This window comes from Homo sapiens, chromosome 2, assembly GCF_000001405.40.
Source record: "Homo sapiens chromosome 2, GRCh38.p14 Primary Assembly".
NCBI lineage: Eukaryota > Metazoa > Chordata > Mammalia > Primates > Hominidae > Homo > Homo sapiens.
Window position 1 is genome coordinate 70,917,152 of NC_000002.12, and position 14,094 is coordinate 70,931,245.

The 14,094-nt window shown below is 49.8% G+C and overlaps 1 protein-coding gene and 1 pseudogene across 3 annotated transcripts in view; one reads left to right on the top strand and one right to left on the bottom strand.

Moving 5' to 3' along the window:
- VAX2 (ventral anterior homeobox 2) overlaps positions 1 to 14,094 on the top strand; it is a 32,871-nt gene that overhangs the window by 16,576 nt on the left and 2,201 nt on the right. The window contains exons 2-4 of one of the 3 annotated variants that reach the window (XM_011532751.4): positions 3,947 to 4,134; positions 7,125 to 7,187; positions 9,526 to 13,666. In XM_011532751.4, coding sequence (XP_011531053.1) covers positions 3,947 to 4,134; positions 7,125 to 7,142 — 206 coding nt within the window. In that variant the 3' untranslated portion in view covers positions 7,143 to 7,187; positions 9,526 to 13,666. Of the gene's footprint in view, positions 1 to 3,946; positions 4,135 to 7,124; positions 7,188 to 9,525; positions 13,667 to 14,094 lie in introns of those variants that run through there. The other 2 variants (XM_011532750.4, NM_012476.3) reach the window with 2 other exon arrangements.
- LOC124906188 (uncharacterized) lies at positions 13,152 to 13,264 on the bottom strand (annotated as a pseudogene).

The window sequence follows — 14,094 nt, forward strand, 5'->3', positions numbered from 1 at the left end:
AAAAAAAAAAAAAAAAAAAAATCAGCCGCGCATGGTGGCAGGTGCCTGTAACCCCAGCTACTCAGGAGGCTGAGACATGAGAATCGTTTGAACCTGGGAGGTGGAGGTTGCAGTGAGCTAAGATTGCACCACTGCACTCCAGCCTGGGGGATAGAGCGAGACTCTATCTCCAAATAAATAAATAAATAAATAAAACAAAAACAAATATTTCATTTCCCTAGAATAAATGCCCATTTATTCTGGGCATTTATTCTGGGTTGTAGGGTAAGTATATTTTTAACTCTTTAAGAAACTGCCTGGCTAGTAGTACCATTTTCCATTCCTACCAGCAATGTAAGAGAGATCCAGCTTCCCTGCATCCTCACCAGCTTTTCCACTCTCAGTATTTTTTCTTTTTGCTGTTCTGATAGGTGTTTCTTATTGCAGCTTTAATTTGCCTTTCCCTGATGGCCAGCAATGTTGAACATTTTTCATGTGCTTATTTGTATGGCATGTTTTAATATTTGGTGGCAAGTCTGAGGTTGCCTTTCTCGTCTGGGTCATGCCTCCATGACCCTGAGGGAGACAGCTGCACTTGGCTGCTCCCTGAGGTGGCAATCCCCCTTTTAGGTCTTGTATAAAGAGGGAAGGATGGTTTGATCTCATGTTTAGGGACTCAGGCTCAGATGCTACAGGGTGGGCTTGAGGAGGCTTATTAAGGGGAGGGTAAGACACCAGCTGTAACAGCACCCTTCCTCCTATTCATACCCCACAAAACATGTTTGATAAAATCAGTGCCTTTGAGATGGATTCACTTGGGAGTTTTGCCACAAAGTTCTGAGTCTGCTCTCACAATTGGAAATTATGGAACCTGAGCAAAGGAGACTGATCCAGTCACAGTGGGGTCACACATATTATCCTATCTTTTTGAAATGTGAACAGAATTGGAGTTGGGGAGCTTGAGTTGTCCTAAGAGGCCTGTAGTCTCTAGAACACATCCTTTTGATAGGCTCTGCCCAGCAGCTTGGCAGGACCTGGCCTGGGATGGGGAGGGAGGCCACCTCTGAGCAGTGACACATCCTCCACCCTGGCTCACCTTTTCCCTGAGGCTGACTATGAACAGGACGGTGCTTGAGAACCTGTGAGATCTGAGCCAGGACTCTTGAGCCAGGAGCCAGAGCATACCCTGGAAGGGGAGTGTCAATTTGCACTGGCAGGACCCAGAAAGAGTCAGTCTCCTGGGGTGGGACGCTTGGAGGGAGGGGCTCAGGGTAACCCTCTAGAGCAGGGATTCTCAAGGTAGGTCCCACCGTCCCTGTGGATCACAAGGAGCCTCCTGCCAGACAGCACATCCCGAATACAGCTCTTTCCATTATGTTCTCTAGGGGAATGATGAACCCATCCAGAAGATTCCATCTTTTACTCATGACCAGGTCCTCTTCATTTCAACCTATTAATTGAATTATTAAGAATTATCAACCGAGGGCTGGGCACAGTGGCTCACGCCTGTAATCCCAGCACTTTGGGTGTCCGAGGTGGGCAGATCACGAGGTCAGGAGATTGAGACTATCCTGGCTAACATGGTGAAACCCCGTCTTTACTAAAAATACAAAAAATTAGCCAGGTGTGGTGGTGGGCGCCTGTAGTCCCAGCTTCTTGGGAGGCTGAGGCAGGAGAATGGTGTGAACCCTGGAGGCAGAGCTGAAATTGCGCCACAGCACTCCAGCCGTCTCAAAAAAAAAAAAAAAAAAAGAATTACCAACTGAGGGTAGACATAAAGTAAAATGATGGAGGCGGGCGCAGTGGTTCATGCCTGTAATCCCAGCACTTTGGGAGGTCGAGGTGAGCAGATCATGAAGTCAGGAGTTCAAGGTCAGCCTGGCCAACATAGTGAAACCCTGTCTCTACCAAAAATACAAAAATTAGCCAGGCATGGTGGCGCACGCCTGTAGTCCCAGTTACTCGGGAGGCTGAGGCAGGAGAATCACTTGAACCTGGGAGGCTGAGGCAGGAGAATCACTTGAACCTGGGAGGCGGAGGTTGTGGTGAGCCGAGATGGTGCCACTGCACTTCAGCCTAAGCAACAGAGTGTGTCTCCACAAAAAAAAAAAAAAAAGAATAAAAAAAAAAGACGGTGTTTCAAGAGTTTCTTGGACACTGCCAGTAGGACCTTGAATAAATTACTTAAATTTTGTTACTCCATTTCCTCATCTGTAAAATGGGGATCATATAGTTCCAAATTCATGGAGACATTGAGAAGGTTAAAGTGCTTAAAACAGCAGGGTGTGGTGGCTCACACCTATAATCCCAGCACTTTGGGAGGCTGAGACAAGAGGATCACTTGAGCCCAGGAGTTCAAAACCAGCCTAAGTGAGACCCCATCTCATTTTTTAAAAACAAAGAAAAAAATAATTAAAAAATAAAATAAGTCCAGGCACAATGGCTCACACCTGTAATCCCAGCACTTTGGGAGGCTGAGGCGGGCAGATCACTTGAACCCAGAAGTTACAGACTAGCCTGGGCAACACGGTGAAATCCCCTATGCCCCCCGTCTCTACAAAAAATACAAAAATTAGCAGGGCGTGGTGGTGTGCTCCTGTAGTCCCAGCAACTTGGGAGGCTGAAGTCGGAGGATTGATTGAACCCTAGAGGTCGAGACTGCAGTAAGCTGAGATGCGCCTCTGCATTACAGCCTGGGCGTGAGAGTGAGACCCTGTCTCAAAAAATAAATAAACAAAACAAAATTAAATTTAATTAAGTGCTTAGAACAGTGACTGGCCCAGAGCAAGTACTGCAGACGTTTGTCAGCCTTTGTTACGGCTGGAATGTCAACAGCCACTGCCCATTCTGGCCGCGTTGCAAACTCCGACTGCGTGCGCCCCCTGGAGGGTATTGGAATTCCTGCACCTGTGGAGGGTTGCTTGCTTTCTTGGGCTTCCTCAAGGCGGCCTTGTGTTGGTAAGCTTCCCATTGCCAATGCTAAGTAATGGAAATTCCTGTTAGTTTAGCTTCGTTATCATGGACATCATTTGTAGGGAGTGATTTTGTAAATCCTACAGGATGTGATGCTGCATATTTCCACAATCTAATTTGTAATATAAAATGTTCTAATAACTAGATTTCAAGCCATCAGTATATGTGGGTCACACATGGATCATCTCCACCCCTGTAGTTAAATGTTACTAAGTTCTTTATCAGGAATGTGTGGGGAACGTGGGCTCCAAATCACTCTTCAGTGGGCTCCAAAATATTGGAGGCCCTCTGTGCGGAGGGCATTGGTCAGAGCCCAGGAGTGGCCCTGCTGTTCAGGACTAGGCACATGGGGAGTGGCAGCAGCCCCCCTCTGGAAGGCATCCAGCAGCCTGATATGGTAGCAGTTGTCCTTGGGCTCCTCCTAGGGACCTCAGCTCCCCAGACTGTCCTCTACCGCTCATCAGCTAGCCTCCTCCTCATGGACCCCAGGTCCCAGGTCTGTGGATGCATGACACTCCTTCATGCATGCATGCATGCACAGACACACACACACACACACACACACGCACAGCTTAGGACCTGGCTCTGACCTCTCCAGTAAGCCTTACCTGATTGATCACATTCAATTCTAACCCATCATCCCCTATGTACTTGAGGACCCAGCATATTTTTCCCATCTGTTCCTTACTCTGCAAAGGCCCAGAATCCTGGCTGGGACAGAGTGAGTCCTTTCTTCCCAGACCACATTGGTAGACCTGGCAGTTGTACTGAGGCCTATTCACATACATTTAGCCACCCATTAGATATAATACCCTGCATTGGGTGGTTAAGGAATCTGGGCCCAGAGAGGGTGAGCAACTTGTCACAGGTCATGCAACCAGATCCAGGCCTGAGGAGCTCTGCGATAGATCACACCACCTTTTATTAAGATGCTTTCTGGTGATCTAACTCCCTAGCTAATGAACTAAGCTGGCTCCTTTCATGGCCTCTGCAGATGCCAAAGGGACAATTCGGGAAATTGTCCTGCCTAAGGGCCTGGACCTGGACCGGCCCAAGCGGACACGTACATCCTTCACTGCCGAGCAGCTGTACCGCCTGGAGATGGAGTTCCAGCGCTGCCAGTATGTGGTGGGCCGCGAGCGCACTGAGCTGGCCCGCCAGCTGAACCTCTCCGAGACCCAGGTAAGAGACCAGGGCCAGGCCACTCCACTCTTGTCCTGGCAGCCTGGGAACTCCTGGGGATATGAGGCCCTGTGAGCTGCTACAGGGAGACCCAACTTTGGAGGAGTTCAGACAAGCATGAGGGAAAGACTTTAAGCTACAGGTAAACCAGAGTGAAAGAGCAAATAAATATAGCGCCGACCACAGACAGTCAGGAAATGCCAATGGGGGCCTTCTGGATAGATCAGGCACTTTTGGATGGAATATGGAAAAGGTTCAGAGAAACTGGGGAAGAGCAGCCCTCAGGGCACAGGGAGTGGCTTGGGGGGGTGTTGGCATGTAAGAGGAGTGACAAGAAGGGATGGTGAGGGCTTGGCTGGTTGGAAATAACGATTCTGGGGAAGATGAAACATTATAAAATTGGGCTGGGGACCTCTCGCTTCTCCATTTCTGGCCCTTTCCCACCCTCCATCACCTTCCCTTCATCTCAGGGTGCCTCAGTCTCTTGTTGGAAAGGAGGGGTCTGCACACCCCCTTCACCTGGGTAGGACTGGCATTTTAACAGCAGTGTGCTTAACTCAAAAGAAAAAAACTTTTGTAAATTAAGCACCTACCCTGTATGAATGGAGACCCTTCAAGCTGGTACTAGAGCTATAAAATACTACCACTACTACTACTACTACTAATACTTAGTACTTACATGTGTCAGGCACTAAGTGCTTTGCCTATGTTAAGTAACTAATCCCTCCCAAGAAGCAGATGATGTCATTCCCATGTTACACGTGAAAGGAAGTTATGCCCAAGGTCAGACAACTAATTAGTTCCGGAGCTGGGCTTTGGACAAGCAGTCTCTCATCTTTATGCTGCCTATAAACTGGGCAACCTTCCTTGAGATTGTCAAAGAATAACTCAGAGACCCTTCTTTCAGCCAGAGCTCTAGTAGTTTGCTCTCATATATGAGGGAGATCAATCAATACATGCATTGTAAACGACGGCCAAAACAGGATTGATAAAGTGGAGAGGAAGGGAGGAGGGGAATGCGGAAGCACTGGTCTGGAGCAGTGTGCTGGTTTCCTTCCTTGGAGCGAGGCGGGAGGCTGTGCTGGAGTGAGGGCTTCCCGTCTGTGCTGTGTGGCTGCTGTCCTCCCCTGTGTCCCTGCCTCAGTGAGGTCAGCTCTCCCTGTTTCCCTCAGCATAATTCCTCCAGCCCCTCAAATCCCCCCAACAGAGTGCTGTGCAGCCCACCCCTGGGGAGGGGGTAGTCAGATGCGCCTGGAAGTCCTCCTGGTCCCCTTGAGAGGTTAGCAGGTTCCTCCTGGGGTACACTGAGAGTAGGGCAGAGGAAGAGGTGAGAAGGGGTGAGAGGCAGAGGAGGGGCAGGCCGGGAGGAGGGGCAGGCCGGGAGGAGGGGAAGGCCGGGGAAGGACAGCAGCTGCTGTCCTGCAGGGCCGGGTCATCTCCACCTGCACTTGTTTTTCCCCAGCTGCCACTGCAGAGCTCCCAAACAACCCTGCGGGGCCTCCCTCCAGCTGGGCTCAACAGGGGGCTGGGAAGCCAGGCTTGTGCTCAGAGAGGAGGCTGCAGTGGCAGGGCCAGGCCAGAACTCCTGGGGAAGTCACTGAGGCCCGTATTCCCTACACTGAGCTGCCCTTGGAGGTCAAGCCCAAGCCCCCCTCTTCCAGGAAGCCTTCTGCAGGCACCTTGCCCTCTTCCCAAGAGACCCTTCCACATGGCGTGACCTGGAGAGACAGATAGTGTGTGTGTGTGTGTGCACGTGTGTGCATGTGTACATGTGTGTGGTGTTGGATGTCCACCAGTATTTGCTTCCCTAGGACAAGAATGTATTTATAGGCCATGGCTCCTCGTCGTGCTTCACAAGGAGCCCAGAACACAGCTGGACACATAGTAGGCCCTCAGCAAGTCCTCCGCACTGTTCTCACTACAACCCTCCTTCCTCTGTCCCCAGTCCTAGGGTTGACAGATAGTAAAAGTAATGGACAGCTGATGCTTATTGAGCGCTTCCCATGCACCAGGTCCTGTTCCAAGGGTGTGACATAGTCTAACTAGTTTAGTCCTCACCACAACCTTATGGGATACGTGTGAGATTTTTCTTCCAACACCAGGTGTATGGTATGTTCCAACCACCAGCAGGCAGTGCTCCAATTCTCCAGCATCACTGAGTATATTCAACAGTTCAATACTGACACTAATTCCCAGAGCTAGCACAGACCCTACAAGTTAAGGGCTCTGTCCCACAAGACAGTGCCACAGCAGACTCAAGTTCCAGGAGCCACCTGTGCTTCTGAATGGACTGGCCTAAAACCGGGGGCTCCCACATCGCCCTCTGCAGGTTTGACAATTCACTAGAATGACGCACACAACTCAGGAAACACCTCCCCTACACTTGCTGGTTTATTATAAATGACACGAGTGAGGAAGAGCCAGATGGAAGAGACACAAAGGGCAAGGTAAGGGGGAGGTGCGTGGAGCTCCCATGCCGTTTCCAGTGCCCCCATTCCCAGCACTTCCACGTGTTCGCCAACCAGAAGTTCTCCTGGTCTCCTTGTTCAAGACTAAATCCAGGCCGGCCTGGCACAGTGGCTCACGCCTGCAATCCCAGCACTTTGGGAGGCCAAGGAGGGAGGATTGCTCAGGAGTCCAGGAGTTCAAGACCAGCCTTGGCAGCAGAGGGAGACCTTATCTCTAAAAAAAGTTTTTTAAAACATTTTTTACAGTTTACACTGTAAACTGCAGGGTGTGGTGGCACACACCTGTAGTCCCAGCTACTTGGGAGGCTGAGGTGGGAGGATTGTTTGAGCCCAGGAGGTCAAGGCTACAGTGAGCCATGTTAGCTTCACTGCACTCCAGCCTGGATGACAGAGCAAGACTCTATCTCAAAAACAAACAAAAAAAGACTATAATCCAATCTCCATTCCCCTCCCCTCCCTAGAAGGAAAGAATGGGGGCGGCTGAAAGTTTCTACCCTCTAATCACAAGTATGGTCTTTCTAGAACCAGCCCCAGTCCTGAAACTACCTAGAGATCCACCCTGAATCACCTCATTAGCATACAACAGTAAGTCTTATTTATTTATTTATTTATTTATGTTTACTGTAGAGACGGGGTCTCGCTTTGTTTCCTAGGCTGGCCTGGAACTCCTGGTCTCAAGTAATCCTCCCTCCTCGGCCTTCCAAAGTGCTGGGATTATAGGTGTGAGCCACCATGCCCAGCCAATAAGAGTATATTGTTTCCACTTTAAATAGAAGGAAACTGAGGCATAGAAAAGTTAAATAGATAACTTGCTCAAGACTTGCAGCGGGTGCATTCATGGGTAATAGTACCCATGAAGATGGCTTTATGGGTACTATTATCCCCATTTAAGCAAACTGAGCCTCAGAGAGGTTAACTAACTTGTAGCTAGAATTCTGTGGCATTCTCAGTATGTTCACCCATAATTTTGTTCAAAAATATTATTGAATACCTACTATATAGCAGGTACTCTTCTAGGCACTTGGGCTTTGGCTTAGAACAAAACAGACCAGGCATCTGCCCTCGTGCAGCTAAGATCCACAGAGACAAAGACAAACCGCATTTCCAGGAGTGATGAGTGTTGTGAGGGAGCTCAAATGGGGTCATAGGAGAGAGACTAAAAGGAAGTGTTTTACTGGGGTGTTCAGGGAAGGCCTCTTTGAGAAGATGACGTTGAGCTTAGGCCTGAGTGGCAAGGGAGAAACAGCCAGATGAGGAGCCAGAAGGAGACGTCAAGGCAGACGGTAACTATGAAGACGTGAGGGGCAGGAATTGGCATAGAATGTTCTAGAAGTATCAGAAGGCCAGAGTGGCTGGAGCTACAGGGTAATTGGGTAAGTAGGTAGGGGAGGATCATGCGATGCTTAGAGACTATGGTAATACATTGAAGAGAAAGTGACAGGAGATGATTGGCATTTTACAGAGGTTCTCTGGCTGCCACTTGGGGAAGGGACCCACAGGGGAAAGGAGTGGACAGGTGTGGACAGGTAGGAACTACTGACATGGGTCCTGAACAGAGCAGTGGTGGAGGAGAGAAGCGTACTAATGTGAGAGGCACTCTAATTTAGTGCTGGAACATATTAGGACTTGCTCATGGATTATACGCCCAGGGCAAGGGAAAGGAAGTGGTTTGGGTAGAACAACTGGGAGAATGGTGACACCATATAATGAGTTGAGAAACTGGGGGAGAAGCAAGATGGTGGGAGCATAATCAAGAATTTTGTTTTGGATCAGTTAAGTTTGAGATCCCAGCGGAGATGTCAAGAAAGCATGTCAGATTTTGGGGGGAGGGCTGGTTTTTCTCTGGTTTAAGTTATCTGAGAGTCTCTGTCAGAGCTCTTTTGGGGGAAAAGATAAGAAATTCCTTCAAGTGCCCTCAGATAATGGATGGACTCCCCAGGGATTAAAAACAGAAGCCATAGCCTTGTTGAAATTCAATAACAGGAACCATGGTGTAGCCAGGAATTGGAAGAGACTGGAAGCCAAAGGCTCTTTTGGGCCCGAGGGATTCAGCACCAGCTACTCACAGAACTTCCTCCCAGTGCTCTGCTGAGTATGTGCTCCAACTGCTCTCCAAAATATCTGCTTCTCTCTCTGTTTCTTCCTCTCCTCTCCTCTCTTTTTATCTCTTCTCCTCTCTTTTTTCTCTTCTCTTCCTTCTGCCAAATAGCATCTCTACCTTCTTCCCTGGATACTCAGAGGACCCAGGCATGGTCCCAATTCAGGCAGAGAAAACACAGAGCTTGCTCAGGGCCCATTTCCATGGCTAGTCTCTTCTTTAATCTAGCATGCCCAATTCAGCTCAGTTGTCTGCAGATTTAAATCTGAAACCCACTTACAGGATTGGGCAGGCAGAATGGCGAAGCCCTTTCCTTGGCTCTCCACCACTCACAGGGCTCTACAGGACAAAGGGTCCACCAGAGTAGGAACAGTGAACAAGACACAGTGCAGCTGACCTCTGTCCCGGCCTTGCCCAGACTCCATGGCTGTGCAACAGAGGCTAAGCATGGCTGCCCTGGAGAGCAGGGGCAGCCTCAGAGGAATCTCTCTCTCAAGACTATCAAAAGAACCCTCTGCCCACCTTTGTCAGCCCAAGGGTAGCATACACTGAAAGTTCTTCTCATGTCAGAGAACATGGACAGCCCCACTTAGTCCAGTTCTCCTTGGTTTTAGAAACCTTCTGATACACCTTGTCACCATGCTTTGTTTGAAAAAGAAAGTTTGGTGTTTGATTAAAGCAGCATTTCTCAAGGTATGCTCTGGAGACCAGCTGTACGTACAGCTCCCCTGGGGTAAAATACAGATGCCTGTGCCACCCTCAGCCCAGAGGTTCCCAGTCAGATTTCTAGGGAAGACCCCACAACCTATATATTTTTTGTTCCAGGTGATTTAATGCACAGTGATGTCTGAGAATCACTGGCTTATGGAAAAGTGAGCAAATCTGACCAGATGATGTGATCACCATGTTGCTTAAAAGACTTCATCAACTGCCAGCACTTTAATAAGTCTGTGATTATTAGCCCACCGAGTCATCACAACAAAACTATGAGGAAGAGTTAAGAACCCCATTTTACTGGTGGGGAAACTGAGGCTCCAAGAAGTTAAGTAACTTGACTTAAGTCATCTAGCTAGTTAAGGGAACCAGAATTGAATCAGTGGCTGTCTGACCTCTGATTCTCCACGATAGTTTGCTACTATATATTGTCTCCTCCACTATATTGTTTGCTACTTCAACCAAAACACTTACCGTGTTGTAACACTTACTGCTTGCCCATGACCCACCCTGCTAGTGTCTGACAGCCAAGAGGGTCAAAATGGAGTTTTATTTATTTTTGTTTTTTCAGCACCTGGCAATGCCTGGCTTGCATCAAATGCTTGATATTTCTGTGTTGCCTGAATGAATGACCAGAGTACCAGGGTCCAAGTAGGACATAAGAGGATGTGGCTGCAGAGGAAAGGAAGATGAGAAGCTGGCTCAGGACTCCCCTCCTGCAGCTGGGCTGGAGGACGTTCTCAGGGCCAGGAGCCCAGGAGCCAGGTGGAGAACAAACTGCCAAGTCCCAATATCCCCCCGGGATGCCCACCTAGCTTGGGTAAGAGCTGCTCCAGCCCTTCAGCATTGTCCTCAGCCTCATGCTTGATGCCTCTGCCTCAGATGGCTTCTTCCAGAACAGCACGATAGATGGTACCTTCCTAGTGCAGATTACAAAAACCAAGCCATCCTAGATACACAGATACCACTCACCTCAGATTAAGTATGGGCCCATGGTCACAGAAAACAGTCTTCAAAAGATGAATGCCATTTCCAGATCAACAATGAATCCTGGAATTTGATATTGACCATGAGCCCAAAGAAGCTGGTGGATAATCTCCTGGAAAATTCCTCTGTAGTCCTGGCAGCCAAGTGGAAACTGTGCCCATCTCCTGGTGCGCGGCCATGGATCACAGTGTGGCCCAGAAAGAAATCAGGGAGGGGGCAGTGCCATGGGTCACAGTGTGGCCCAGCAAGAGATCGCGGAGGGGGGCGGGGCAGCCACCAAGCACTCACTGAGTCCCAGGGAGTCAAGATGGCAGCCTCCAGGAGGCCACACAGGACCCTGAGAAAACAGAGGAGGGAGACAGCCCAGAAGGTGCACTGGGCAGGTGAGGGGAGAGGCACAGCTGCGGAGGTGTGCTGGCCCCGCCACCCTGTGAAGTCGGCTAGGAATGGTTTCCCAGAAGTGGATAAGGACCGATCACTTTGGATTTAACCTTGAGAAGAGGATGAACCTGAGATGGAAATGAAGGTTTCCTGGGGCAGGAGGGACACATTCAGAGGGCTCTGAGCCTGTCTGTTCTTCAGAAAGACAGAGAGACAACATTTGCAGGGCCCTGTGAACCTACCCGCTAGGGCCTGAAGGGCCTGATAGGCTTGGTGGGCCTGATGGGCTTGATGGTGGGAAGTAGAGAGTTGACCCTTCTTACTCTCACCCTTGAAGTTTGCAATGCTGGGAAGCACATTAGATTCACCCACAGAGCTTTAGAAGAATACCCAGGCCTCAGCCCCATTCCCTAGAGATTCTGATTTAATATGGGTGAGGCATGAGGCCCGGACATCATCCCAGAAAATTCCAGTGTGCGGCCAAGGTTGAGAATTCCTGACCTAGCCCATATGTGGCCAAGAAACAAGCACCCCTGGTCCCAGCCCCTGCTCCATCTGCCTCTGACTTCTCCTCTCCTAGGGTCCAGGCTCACCTTCTCAGGAGACGCCCAAACCCAGCACCAGCCCACACCCGCCTCTCCTTGCTACACCCAGAGCTGCAGGAAGATGGGATATGTGGGAGAGCACCTTGTAAATGCCTGGTCATTCCTCATCTGTCACACCCCATTACTGCCACTCCCTGAGTACGAATTGCCCTCTGTTTTTTGGGAATGAGTTAGTGCCACTCCCCCACTAGACCCTCAGCTTCCCAAGGACTGGAGTCATGACATCTGTGTCTCCTCTCCCTCTAGTTCAGAAACAGAGCTAGAAACAGAGAAAGCCAGCGATAAATAACTATTCACATTTCCTGTGGGCCAGGCGTGATGCCAAGCTCCCTAAATGGGTTTTCTTCTTTCATCTCTGCAATAGCCAAGTATTATTGTCCCCATTTTAAAGATAAGACACTGAGGCTCAGGGGTTCCTGGAGGTGGCCTGGCCTCAGGTCCTAGGACGGGGAGGTGCTGGCTTGGCTAAGAGGTCAGGAAGCTTCCCAGCAGGGAGGGGGAATGCAGCAGTGTGCAGCGCTATGGTCCTTGAGGATCTGGTGAGACTCCTTCCCTCAGCAGTCAGATTCCAGAGGTGACAAATGGGAAAGGGTTTTCTTCTTTCCAGTCATTGCCTTCAGCTAGACTTGGCTGAATCTTCCTTGACCATCCCTTACTGATATCTTCTTCAAATGTCCCCTCTTCAGGGAGGCTGTATGTGCCATTCCATTAACAAAACAGTCACCCCCCTCCTTCCTTTCTGCTATCCTGCCACCTTTCTCTAAAGCAGTGCCCCCCAGAGTATGGCCCTTGGGCCACTGCCAGCCCATAAACTGTTACCTGTCTATGACATGGTAAGTATAGAAATAAAGAATAGGTATTTAGAAAAGGCCTGGAGCGGTGGCTCATGCCTGTAATCCCAGCACTTTAGGAGGCCGAGGTGGGCAGATCACGAGGTCAGGAGTTCGAGACCAGCCTGGCCAACATGGTGAAACCCTGTCTCTAGCAAAAATACAAAAATTAGTTGGGTGTGATGGCACACGCCTATAATCCCAGCTACTCAGGAGGCTGAGGCAGGAGACTCACTTGAACCCCGGAGGTGGAAGTTGCAGTGAGCCGAGATCATGCCACTGCACTCCAGCCTGGGCTACAGAGTGAGACTCCATCTCAAAAAAAAAAAACAATGTATATAGCAATCTTTCCAGTAATTCATTTTAATTGTATTTTTTAAAGTATTGGTCCTCAACAAAATTGGACACTTTATAAAGTGGTCCTCACCTCAAATCATTTGAGAAACACGGCTCAAAGCCCTTGCTGCCAATTGACAGACAGGCTTGTTTGTGTTTGTTGTTCATCCTCTGCCTCCCCAACTCCACCGCCCACTCCACGTGGCAAGGATTCACTGGGCTTTGTTCACTGCTGATTCCCTGGGCCTCAATGTATATCTGGTGAGTGAATGAATGGATAAATGAAGCAATCAACCTCAAGTAGGTCTCATAACTTTCTGGTCACTTTTGATTATTGAATCTGCATCCGCCAGGTGCGGTGGTGTGCACCTGTAGTCCCAGAACTTGGGAGGCTGAGGCAAGAGGATCACTTGAGGCCAGGATTTTGAGGCTGCAGTGAGCTCTCATGACACTAGTGTACTGCAGCCCAGGCAGAAAACCAACACTTTGTCTCTAAAAACAAAAATAAAGAAATAAACTCAATCCAATGTCCTTCAAAACACCAACTCACATCTAGTTTAAATCTCATCTTCTCCTGAAGCCCCACACCTGCTTCCCCACTCAGAACAGCCTTGACTCACTGCTTGCCAGCAAGGTTTGAGGTTTGAGGAAAGCACATCTCACATAGGAGCATGAACACCCAGTCATCCTGCTGAAGAACTACAAAAGGACCCCTGCCCACTCTTTACCTCCTCCCAGTGCAGCCTCTGGAGGGGATTGTGATCTGTCTCAGTCACTTGCTCCCTCTTCCCCCAACAGCCACCTCCTCCAGGATCAGACGACAGGGGGTGGCTTCAAGGAGGCAGAGATCTTTTTAAAAGACTGGACATCTTCTGGTGTGAGGAGGGGAAGCACCAAGGCCTCACTTTCTGAAGGCCTTTGCTGAAGGGCCAGTCACTCCTAGCAGGTGGTGATGTCTGGCATGGCCCAGGTGGCCCAGTCTGTCTTGGCTCTGCCTGTCTTCTTAACCTGGGCAGCCCTCTGGCTCAAGCCTTCTCCTCCACCCATCTCTTGGCAACTTCTCAAAACCACAGCAGTTGCTGGACTATTAAATCTTCCAAAAGCTGGAAGGAACCAGCAAGGTCTTCCTGACCTTTTCTTATTGGGCCCTCCCCTCCACGGTTCTCACCCTCCCTGCCGGTACACCTGCCCCAGCTCCAGGCGAGGAGCAGGGTTGGCCTCTATGTTCCCAGGGAAACAAGTCTGGGTGCTCCCATGGTGGCCTCCATGACATGGGCCTGTAGATGCTGTGGCCTGATGAGTTTCTGGAGTGGGGCATGAATGCCAGTCTCTCCTTCTAGTGCCTACAAGTGATTCTTTTGGGCCCTCCCCCAACTTGCATCTGCAGGGCAGCACACCCTTCCTCCCATGAGGTTTTGTGGCCCCCAGGGGACTGAGCCTCAGCTTCCTGCCCAGTTCCCTTTCCTCATGTAGAGTAGGAAGGGGTTTGGAGCACTGGGTGTTGGGTAGTAGAGGCAGGGCCAGTTCTGCCTCCTCTCAGA